Source organism: Homo sapiens, chromosome X (genome assembly GCF_000001405.40).
Source record: "Homo sapiens chromosome X, GRCh38.p14 Primary Assembly".
NCBI lineage: Eukaryota > Metazoa > Chordata > Mammalia > Primates > Hominidae > Homo > Homo sapiens.
The window spans coordinates 93704249-93716459 of record NC_000023.11 but is presented as its reverse complement, the minus strand read 5'-3'; the positions used below and the strand labels follow the sequence as shown (position 1 = coordinate 93716459).

At 34.6% G+C, this 12211-nt stretch overlaps 1 protein-coding gene across 14 annotated transcripts in view; it reads right to left on the bottom strand.

Annotated features, from left to right (window-relative positions):
• Positions 4195–12211, bottom strand: part of FAM133A (family with sequence similarity 133 member A) — a 38585-nt gene continuing 30568 nt past the window's right edge. For 12 of the 14 annotated variants that reach the window (XM_011530926.4, XM_011530927.3, NM_001171110.2 and 9 more), the window contains one exon: positions 4195–7143. In XM_011530926.4, the coding sequence (XP_011529228.1) occupies positions 6294–7040 (747 nt within the window). In that variant the 5' untranslated portion in view covers positions 7041–7143 and the 3' untranslated portion in view covers positions 4195–6293. Of the gene's footprint in view, positions 7144–8185; positions 11015–12211 lie in introns of all 14 variants that reach the window. The other 2 variants (XM_017029455.2, XM_017029454.2) reach the window with 2 other exon arrangements.

Here is a 12211-nt window from a genome sequence, read left to right as displayed (position 1 = left end):
GTCAAAGGACAAGAATGAATGCTGACGTGCAAAAAGGGTGTGCAGTGCTGGGTATATATTTCATTTGCCCCTCCAGCTCCACTGTCTATCCTTCTTTCACCTTCCCTGTGCCTGAGGAGGCTGACCTGTATAGATAACATCAGTGAGATCCCATGACTTCTGATTTCCAGTTGGGTTCAGCTAATGGGGAAGCAGGACAAAAGATCAGAAGAAAGGAAGTGAACTCAGAGTATTTATTTGTTTAATGACAGCTCAGGTTGATTTGACTATGCTCAGCTCAAAGTGACCTTCTATACACAACTCTCTTTCTTAGTTTTAGTCTCTTTGGGCCTAAAAGTAGTGATAGCTCATTGTTACTAGTCCCAAGGTTACTGTACTCACTAGCCCTGTGGTTCTTCTATACTCTGCCAACACCTTTGTAAATAGCCGTTTTGTAAATAAACCCTTTTCAAATTATCTGGAGTGTGCCATCTGTTAAATGATTGGATCTCTGATTGATGCAACCTCCCAGGGAATGCTCTTGGTACAGCCTACTATCAGTGGCTGGGCAGGTATATGACAGATATTTCCAAGCAATTTTTTAAAGGGTTAATCTATACATGTGCATATATGGTTATATATTGGGGATAATCACATCTTGCCCTGCTAATTGATTGCAATGACTTCTAGAATATGATAGATAAAGATCTATGTGGTATTGCAAAAGATCATTGGACTTATGGAAATTATGTATATAGGATTCTTGGTTAGGTCCAGAAATACATGTCCATCAAGCGGGAGTAGTAACTGCTTAATGACCATAGTATGTCTTTTGAAAAGTCTCCATTTTTTTTGTTGATATTTATCTCTATTTTATCTTATTTTTATGTACTGGAACATTATTAAGATCATTTTGAGTTATACTAGCTCATGGATTTCATCCACTGCTTTCCCCCTGTTCATTTGTAACAGATGTAATAGGGCCTTAGCTGTGGTTCTTTACTTCGTATTATGTTTGTTGTACTGGTGAAATATTTATGTCAGTAAAGAGACTACAATAGAGAAAATATATTCTTGTGTATTATATCTGAATAGTGTCAGATAAATTAATCCTGTGAAGGTTTGGGTAGCAGGTAAATGGGACACATCTTAAAAACAAATTTAGGTAAAGTAATTGAATGAAGATGGGAAGGTGAGTGGATGGATTGAAAATGAGATACCATATAGATAAATAAGTAATAAAGCTATGTGGGGGCACTAAAGAAAAGCAGATTACAACGTCTTCTTTGAAGGGAGATAATCTGTATCTTTGATCTTTGTAAACAGCTTCTGAGAAAAGACATTTCAAAACACTAGAGTTCTTGATTAAATCATTCAGAGTAGTAGCTTATTGGAAGGAAAACAAGCATATCCATGCTCTCCTTAAAACAATTTCAACTTGCCAAGTTTCTGAACACAAATCATGCTCGTGCTGGGTTAATGTTATCCGCATCTATCATAAAAATTGACGCAATTTCTCTATTAATTCATATTCAAACATTTTTACATCCAAGAAGTATAAACGCTCAATAGCCTTCTGTATAATCAGTATTTTTCAATCAGTGCAAATCGGATTAATGATGTCTGGCATATTTAAATAGGGAAGATTTTTTTCTCCTGGTTCTAGCAGAAATTCTATGGACTGCACTAGATTTTCTTTCTTTTTATCTTGATGTAAATGCTGTTAATACATGATAAAGAATGGATGAACATTGAAAATATTATACAAAGTGAAAGAAGTGTCACAAAAACCATAATTATATAATTCAATTTATATGAAATGTCCACAACAGGGAAATATACAGAGTCAGAAAGTATGTCAGTTGTTGCTTAAGGCTTGAGAGGATGGGTGGGGTGAGTAGGGAAGATAAAAGGGACAAAGTTTCTTTTTGAGATGATTTACATGTTCTAACATTGTGGTTATATGGAATTCTTGGTTAGGTCCAGAAATATATGTCCATAAAGCAGGAGCAGTGACTGTTTAATCGCCATAGTATGTCTTTTATAAAGTCTGATTATGTTTCCATGTATTTGTAAATACGCTAAAAACCATTGAATTGCATACTTTAAAGAAGTGAATTTTATGGTATATGAATTATATCTCAATTCAGCTGTTGTAAAACGTAAGGCAAGGAGCTTACACACAACATCTAGTATACTACATTCATTCAGTTTCCTTTCTCCCAAATCTTGTTCAACTAATTCAATTTAATGAAAATTAGGAGACACCCATCATATGCAAAACACCATGTATTATCATTGTTAAGAGATAAAAGATGAAGCAGGCGCTACTTTTAAAAAAGTTAAAATGCAGCATAGAAGGTGGCGATATCATAATAATGTAATCATCATTATGTCATATGTGATAATGATGATAATTGGAGGTGGAGGATGAAAAAAACACATTTATTGAGCATTTACTATGTGCCAGGAATTTTTAAATACTTTAAATGTTATTTTATCTTATTTTCATAACAATCCTAGATATAGGTACTGATGTAGTTTAGATGTCTGTCCCCTCCAAATCTCATACTGAAAAGTGATTCCCAATATTGGAGGTAGGGCCTAGTGGGAGGTGATTGGATCATGGGGGTGGATCCTTCATGAATGGTTTAGTAACGTCTCCTAGGTGACAAGTGAGTTCTCACTCAGTTAGTTCACAAGAGATCTGGTTGTTTAAAAGTCTGGGACCTCTCCCCCTGCCCTTGTTGCCTGTCTCACTATGTAAGGTGCCTACTCCTGCTTCACCGTCAACCATGAGTGTGAGCTTCCTGAGGCCTTCACCAGAAGCTGAGCAGATGCTGGTGCCATGCTGTACAGCCTGTAGAACCGTGAGCCAATTAAACCTCTTTTCTTTACAAATTACCCAGGCTCCAGTATTTCTTTATAGCAACGCAAAAATGGTTTAATACAGATACCATTTTCTCTGATTTTTGTATATGAAGAAATTGTGTCATAGAGGTGGTGAAATAACTTATTTTGGGTCACATGTCAAGAAATGGCAGAATGAAAATTTCAACCTAGTGCTGAGCTGAGAGCTGAGGCTCATAACACGAAGAGTCCATGAGTCTACAAAATACATAATATAAAGCAAATTAAACTTAAGTGGCATGAAGAGTCAAGAAAAAGTGCTGGAGCCTATGATCAAAGAACATACCTTGTTTGCAGCTCAGACAGGAATGAGAAAGTCAGTTCAACTTTAAATTACATAGGTGATTTTGAATGATTGTCTATATTTTCATGAGACATGACGTAGTTACAAACCTACATCTTAGATTAAATATGTCTTTTTTGTAAAATAAATAGGGCCAAACAGAAATGACTACATAAATGTCACAATGTCAAATGAAACTTTTCTTCAAAATAAATTTATAATTATCAAGAGAGTTGTCACAAGATAAAAAACAAGAACTCTAAATTTTCTTGTTTCCTTATCCCCAATCTAAATCTTCACCTGAAGCCTGAGATCTTTCAAATTCCTTTTGTTATCAAAATTAAATTGTGAGTCTAGAGTGTATCAATTTTTCCCATCTCCCATCTTCTTTCTTGTTTACTTTCTCACTGCTGCCCTTTCCATAGCCAAAGTGAGTTGAATGTTATAGCTAAAGCTATACTCCTTACTAAGCACATAGGCAGATCACTAATAACAACTTTAGTGCTTTTCAAATAGGGACAAAATTATGTTGCTTTTAATTTAGAAGCTACATATTAATGTTCAACTAAATCTATTTAGTGTATTATCCTCCATATTTCTATAGCACTTTTCTCTGCTGTAAGTTCTATAATTAATATAAAAAATAGCATTCCTCTTCTTCATCAAGTGCTCATGAGTACTTTTAAAATTTCCTTCTCAAAAACTTTACTGGAACTTTTTTACTACAATCAACAGAATAATGTAGTTTTATTTCCTAGGCAGCATTTCTGATAAGCATGAAATAGGGTAGACCACTCTCTCCCTCAATCATTACATAAAAACCAGTGCAAATACAATGAGTATTTCCTTCTGCTATGGCATAATGATCACTTCTGAGTCAATCTGTAGACTACAGAAGAATGTGATAGAAGAAGGTGAGTTATTTTATGTAAATAATGAAATAGATGTTCTAGAGTTCTATGTTATTGGTCAGATTAGGTTAGGTGATTCCGCAGTAATAAAAAGACCCCAAATCACAGTGGTTTAACACATAACAGTTTATTTCTTACACTTAAAAAGTTTACTGCAAGTCCATCAGCACTCCAGTCAGGTCCCTTCTAAACAGCGACCTAAGGACCCAGGTTGCATCCGTCTTGTAAGTATGCCATTTGGAACATCTTGCTTTCAGGTCACCATGACAGGCAAAAGAAAACTGGAGGGTCATGCAGAACTTTTTACAGTCCAACATGGAAATAGAAAATCACTTCTGTTTACAATCCCTCTGCTTGAAGTAGTCAAATGGCATTGCCTAACTACAAGAGGTTTGGAAGTGAACAGGAGCAGATAGATACATGATGAGCTGTAAATGCTTTTGCCATATTCTACAAATAATATAAGCTTATAAAAAGCATTTTAATGAACAATTCTGAAAAACTCTATATGGATACAAAATATCCCATAAATGTAATAGTTTTTATCAGCATAAACATATATTTTTAGGAAAAAGCTAAAGTTATGAAGCTCCAAGGTAATCTAACATGGCATCACTATAATGTTCCAAGAACTTTAATGAGAGATTCCAGTATTTCCAATGCAAAAAATTTGGCAGCCAACATGTTTATGTAGATGTTTTTTATCTTTATAATTTTACTTGTGATTGAAGGTAGCCGAGATAAAATCTGCTATTGAAAAACAATAGCTATTGAGCTTTTCATCATGCCAAAATACTTTGTACCTATGACATTACAATTAGCACATCCTCCATCACAGGTGGTTTTGAGACACAAATTTATAATTTATGTTACTCTGATATATAAAAATGTAAAGTAAAAATATTTTTTCACTTATTTTTACACTAGTGGTAAAAGTGAATCAGCAACAGATACAAGGCACCAAATTGTAGGAAAATACGGACACAGGAAGATCAATGATGTCATTATCATCTACATTTAACTTCTATATAAATTCAATATTAATGCTTAAGACAACAATCTTTTCAACAACAATCTTACTAAGATTTTGGCAGTAGTTTCATGTAACATACGGCGTACTAGAGGTCTGGCACTCAACTTGCGTACAGTAACCAGCTTCAATATGAAGGCATTACATATTTTTTAAAAAAAACCTTTTCACATGCTAAATATTTTGGCAAGGGTGCAATTAAACACAGTAATGAAATTAATATAGCAAGGCTAAGAAACTAAAAACTTGAAACTTATATCCTAAGCATAAATCATATCTTAAAAAAGGATCATCAGTTATATAGAATATGGTCAGATAATTAAAACTTAACAGTATAAAACATGCAAAAAAAATTTCAGAATATTTCTTAATCAAACAACATCAGGGTCTGTTTAGAATGGTTCCCATACAAAATGGGTATAAAGTTATTTCAAATCATGTAATATTGTAATACTAAATATTATTCAGTACTGTATAGTAAACAGTGCTGAAGAAGAGGTAAATTTCATAGATATGGGGGCTTACTTATGCTGTAAACTCCTGTCCTTCTTGTTCACTTGAAGCAGCATACAACACCCCAGAATTTCATAAAGTAAGAAAAGGACGGCTGCTGCTCTGGCAAAAATAGGATGTGTAAGAGTCAAAGGCACACTATTCAGCTAGCCACAGTGATTAGCAAACACTTGCCCTTCCCACCCCACATGCTCTTTCCCCATGTAAACAAAGATTCATTAAAGAAAAAAGGAAAATGAACTAAACTTATTTACAAAAGCAAGGAATTTGAGACATCAATATTAAGTCCTTGCATCAAAAATACCAACTACAATTGTCTGGAAATTACATTTATGTTTCATTGATGGTGATATTTCAAAGATGTATTCGAATTAGATACATTTAACCTTAGATACACTTTTTTTTGTCAAAGTTATTCATTATCTAACACATTTTACTTTAATTTCAAACATTTTATTCACTGGTATGACAACAGAATTTTAGCTCTCAGAGGAATTAACCATTAGAAGGAAGGACAAGCAAACAAACAAAAATGTATATTGAAGTTGCCAGCAGCCACTATGCCCCTTACTGGCACAGTGGGATTTGATAGGCAACTCAAAGTCCAGAAATAATTCTACTAACACAGGGGAACTCGGCAAACTCATTCTTGCTTTTTTTCTTGATGTTACCTTGACTTGTGACTTGATCCAGACTTCTTTTTCTTCTTCTTACTATGTTTCTTGTGCTGTTTCTTCTTCTTCTTCTTTACTTTTTCCTTTGCTTGTTCTCGCTCTTCACACCTTCTCTTCTTTTTTGCTTGCACATCCTCTTCATAATCTGATTCAGATGAGGACTCAGATGATAAAGGTTTATCATCAGGGTAACTTTTCTTTCTTTTTTTGCTGAGGCTTCTTACATCCTTTTCTTTCTCTGTTTCATCCTTTGACTTCTTTTTCTTTTTTACAGACTCCTTGCTCTCTGATTCTGATTCATGCGTAGAGCTTTGGGATGATTTGTATGAACGGTTCTTCTTTTTCTTTCTCCTTTTTCCTTGTTTCTTTTCCTCATCCTCAGAATCTGAAGAACTGCTTGAAGAATCAGAGCTTGATGAAGAAGATGAAGACCGACAAGATTTCTTCTTTCTCTTTTTCTTTCTTTCTCTTTTTTTAGATGAGCTCTCATTTCCACTTAATAATTTCTCTCTGCTTTTTTCAAGTTCTTTCTTCCAATTTTCATTCATTTTTTCTTCAAATTCAGCTAATGCTTTTGAACCTGTTTTTTTATTTTCTAATTGTTTCTTTACTTCTTCCCAGGTGGGTCTTGGTCGATTTAGATAATCTTGGATTGTTGGGCCCACAGATTGAGTTGGGCCTCTCCATCTGGCCATTGCTATAGGATTCATATAGGCTACCCGATTATCCCGCTTCCCCATGGTGCCTGATGTTTCCAAGGGCAGACTCTCAGTTGCCAAGGAGAACAAAGATAGATACTCGCCTTAAATTCTTTATCTAGTGAAATATCAAGCAAGCTCCATTCTGTAAGAGAAGCAGATGGAATGATTACAAATCACCTTTAATATAAAGACAAACAAACATATAAGCTTAATTGTTAACACTGCCTATCACACAGTACAGTAGAAATTTCCAAAATCTTATACCATGGGAACAAACAATATACACATTTTAAAATTTTACATATTATAGACACTGTGGTATAAACATAATATAAACTAAAAGTGTTTTATATACCTCATGTAAGATTCTGACAGATACCTAAAATATTTAATAGCCATTTTCTCTTACATTGTATGATACTTAACTTTTTCCTTTCTTTCATTCCTGCTTTATATAGTATATAGAGAGAAATTTATAAAACTAAAATCTGTACCAGACAGACCTTCGCCAACTCAAGAAAGTGCAACACAACCCTCTCCATTCCTTTTGACAGAAGCCCAGGAGTCATAACTGAGAAATCCTTCTCCCTCAACGGTCAAATCCAATACATTACTAAATCCTGATATTTAAACCTCCACAATAGGCCTCATATCCATTCACTTGTCTCCAAATATACTGTCATCAACTTAGCCCAGGCCACTATCATCTCTCGCTTGGGCTATTAATCTCTAGTACCTAGTAAGTGTTTATTCTCTGTCAAGGACTGCTTAGTGTTTGCAATGGATTATCTCATTCAATCTCAAGGCCAGACCTATGAAGTTGATCCTATCATTGTCTCTATTTCACAGATAGATAAACTGAGGCTTAGAGAATTAGAGTAAAACTCAAAATTTGAACATGAAGTAACATGGCTAATAAATGGCATATCCAGGATTTAAACAAAGGCAGCCTGATTCCAAGCTGCACAAATAAGGCAACACCAAATTGTCTCCTTACATCAACCTCTTAATAGGTAGCATTTTTCCAACCTTACTCCCTTTTATTCTAGTCCCACACTGTAAACAGAGGGATCTTAAAAAACTCCAGTGGTTTTATATTTTAATGAAAAACAAATCCAATCTCCTATAAGGTCCTATATGATCTGCCCTACTTCTGTCTCTTACTTTTGTTTTGTTTCACTCACCTTTTTTCTCAATTCTTTTCATTTGGTTCCTGGAACATGCCGAATTATAGGCTTAGCCAGCATGGCCAATTCCACCTCATCCTTCAGGTTTCAGCTTAAATGTCAATTCCTCAGAAAGTCAACCATTAGGTTAAACTATGTAAAACTATTTTATGGGACACAAACAGTTTAAAGATCAACAACTTTTTATGGCTCAACCTTATACTAAAGTGGTTTGCCTCTCTGTCTACCCCTCATCCTCATTTTTCTGTATGATAGTTCATCGTTTATTTTATTTGTAGCATTTATGAAATTGGTAATTATTTTATTTGTGATTATTGCGTTATACATGTGTATCCACTGCTAAATGTAAGACCAAGAAGGGTAAAGGTCATGTGTGGCCTATCTTATTCACCACGGTGTTCCCATTACCTGACATAGAATCTGATCCATATTAAGCACTCAATAAATATTTTCTCAATAATAAACAAATAAATAAATGCATGGATGGATGGATGGGTAACTCTGAGAGAAAGGAGGATTCAGAGGGAGTGTCCTGGAGATGGTGATGTCTGTATAGGGTCTTAAGGAATGAACAGGCATTTACCCAGAAAATGAGGAAATTAAGGACAATCTTGGCAGAGGAAACATGAGAAAAGAGCAGCAGGTATTTAGAGTTGATGGAACCTAAAGATCAAGAGGGCAGGGGGAAGGAGGTAAGTTTGCAGAGATAAAAAGAAGCCTAAATATGGAGGCCCTCTTAGGTCATTTGAAAATCTTGAATTTTGTCCTATAGTTGATACAAGAGCCAATAAAGTCTTTTATATAGAAGAGAAAGACGATCAGACATATAATAGATTTTTCTATCAATCTCCATCTTAAATCTGATCCTTTAAGTCAACCTAACATACCTACCCATCATAAGCTCAATGCTATAGACATTTCAGTGACTCTTGGTGATAGTTTCCAACATCTTATTTTCTGTGTTCTTGATCTTATTCTCCTTCCTCTTTATTTATAGGCAGCCCTTTTAGGTCTTTCTGTAATTTTCATTCTTACTCTTACCCTAACCACGTCTCAAATATCATTGTGTCTCTGATTTGACCATTCAAAACTCTTAAATACTTCAGTTCATATTCAACTTGCAGCTTCTTTCTGTTACTTGACACTTACAATAGAATAATCCATTCTAATTTCAGTCCCTTGAGACCTAGTCCTGACATCAGCTAGAAAGATAGGCGAAGGCCAGTTAACAAAGGCTTTGGGTGGTATGCTAAGGTGGTTGGAATCTCTCCTGTGGGATTTACAGTGAAGCTAACGGGGAGACACTATTTTAAGCAGAAAAATGATATGGTCATATTTGAGTGTTTAAGGACAATTATTTGCCCAGTGACAGACGGATTGAAGTCAGGTTAAGACAGAAGGCAATGGGACCACTTAAAAATTCATGTAGACAAGAAATGAAAGAGTCTGAACTCAAACAGCAACACTGTGAATGAAAAGAATGAGAAATATATGAGACATGTTGAGAAGATTCTATTGAAATTAGTGACAAATTGGATACAAAGGATGAAAAAGAGAAAGAAATCTGGGGTAAGGCTCTGGCTCGACACATTAGACCAAAGGCAATGACAATGACTAGGTAATAGAGAAAATGGCACAGACTTCGAGAAAAGGTTCTAGTTTCCATTTTGGACTCCTGAAGTTTGAAGTGCCTATGAGATTTATGGACAATTATCCATGTAAGAAAGAGGATGTATGGGATTTGGCACTTTGGAAAGTGATCTGAGTTAGAAATACTGAACTGGCAGTCGCTGAGTGATAGCTAGGGTCATGAGAGAAAACTAAATTATTTTGCAGGGAAATTTCAAGTGGAAAAAAGTTTGAGACTGGATCCAACTGAACACCAACATGCAAGGGGTTGGCAGTGAATGAAAAACCTACAAAGTATGCATTAAGAAATTAGCCAGAGTAGTAAGAGCTGGACCAGTATCAGAAAAGAAAGAGTCAAGAAACACAGGGTGAATAAAGTTTCAAGGTGAGCATAAGAATCCTTATGACTCTGTAATGTTTAAATTTTCTACAAAAAACAAGTATTATCCTTACCTTTGAAAAATTCATAAAAATAGAAAAGATTTGTTACAGACAACAGTATTAAATGCAGAAGATCAGTCAAGTTCAGATCTGAAAATGTCCATTATACTTAGCTATCAAGAAGTCATTAGTAACCTTTGCTAATGCAATCTCAGCTAAGTGGTGAAGGCACAAGCCAGGTGACAGTGGGTTAAAAGACTGAATTGAAGGTGAGAATGTAGAGACCTAGAGTACATAGTCACAGTCAATACGGAAAGTAAAGAGATAAGAAGGCAACCATGAAAGATGCAGAGTTAAAATTCTTTTGTGTTTTTTTTTACATGAAAGAAACTTGAGCATATTCATAGGGCATCTAGAAGGATAAAGTACAAAGAAAACATGTTTTAAAAACCTAGGTAAGAGAAGAAATAACTAATGTGGCAATATCACAGAGAAAACAGAAAGGAATGAAATTAAATTCAGAGATAGAAAGAATTTCTTCCCCCAAGAGCAGAGGCAAAGAATAAAGACAGGGAATGGATGCAGGATTTTTTGTAGGGTGGTAGGAGGTAAAAGGGAGAAAGATGAAGTATTTCTCACATAATAGCCTTCATTTTCATTCAGTGGTAAGTGCCAAGGTTGTCTGCTAAGATTAAGACAGGAGTTTTGAGACCAGTAATTAAAATTTGGAGTAACAACAGAGAATGGGAGAGGGTGTTGTCACCATGTAAGTGTTGCTGGAGTTCTTCTGAACTGAAGAATCTGTATGATCCTTTCCTAGAAGATAAATCAAATTGAGAAAAGAGAAAAAGTAACACCAACAAAGTCTCTTGCTCAAATACTCTGTTTTAAAAGCACTGTGGCTTATCTTCTCTGTTTCTATTATAGAACAAAGAGTAACTTGATTTTCTGTACATCTACTTATTTTCATGAAATATGCTAAAATCCTGTAAAGGTTAGATATAAATTGTGACAATCATGCTAGTAATCTGGATATTATAATAATATTTGTTCATTGATTCTTACAATTCCCTTTTGATAATCTATTATGTGCCAAGATACTATGCAATGGATATTACAGTTTAGTAAAGGTAATAGTTATTACACAAATATGAAACAAATGAGTATATAATCATAATCATGACTGGGGAGATGAAGGAAAAGTACAGGATGCTATGAAAGAAACAGAGACCTAATTCAGAAGGGAAGGTCAAGTCTGAGATACTGACATATCATCTGAGACACTGACATATCATCTGAGACCTGTGGTATAAACCAGAGCTAGCCAGAAAAAGCAGTTAAACAGGATGGGAGTAATAAAAGAGCCAAAATTGTTTGAATGCCCCAATCAGAAGGAATATCAGATGCTAAGGCCTTGAGGTACAAAGGAAAAGCTGAATACAGTACAAAATATTCATATTACTTTTATAAACTAGTAATCATCTCAATTTCTCCTTTTTGAAAGTGATTATACCATCTGTTATGAAACATACTTAGGTAAATGTCAATATAAATGTAAGATCACTGAAAAGATATTTAAATGTTTCACAATGTAGTTTCTACCACAAATATCACTAAAACTAGTTATTTTAAAGGCTACCTCTAAATCATTTAAAGATTACAAATGATTCCAATGAATTTTCACTGAGATGTATAATTGTAGATAAATTCTCACAGATACATAAATTTGAGTTGAAACATCTTTTTCAAAGTAGCTGGAAATTCCTCTAAGCCTTAATCTGAAGCATTCAACTCTTCTGCAAATATCTGGACATTTGGATGAGGCTCCTATTTAAAAAAAAACCTTAATGTTCTTTGTTCACACTAGCTTATGTAAATTACCATGCTGCTGAAACAAATGTATCTTAGAAAGTTTCTTAAAGGATTTAAGATAGGAATGGGCCTGTCAAATTATAAAATGACAATAATCTTCACATATAACAATATCTTTAATTACCACAATATGTTTGGCCA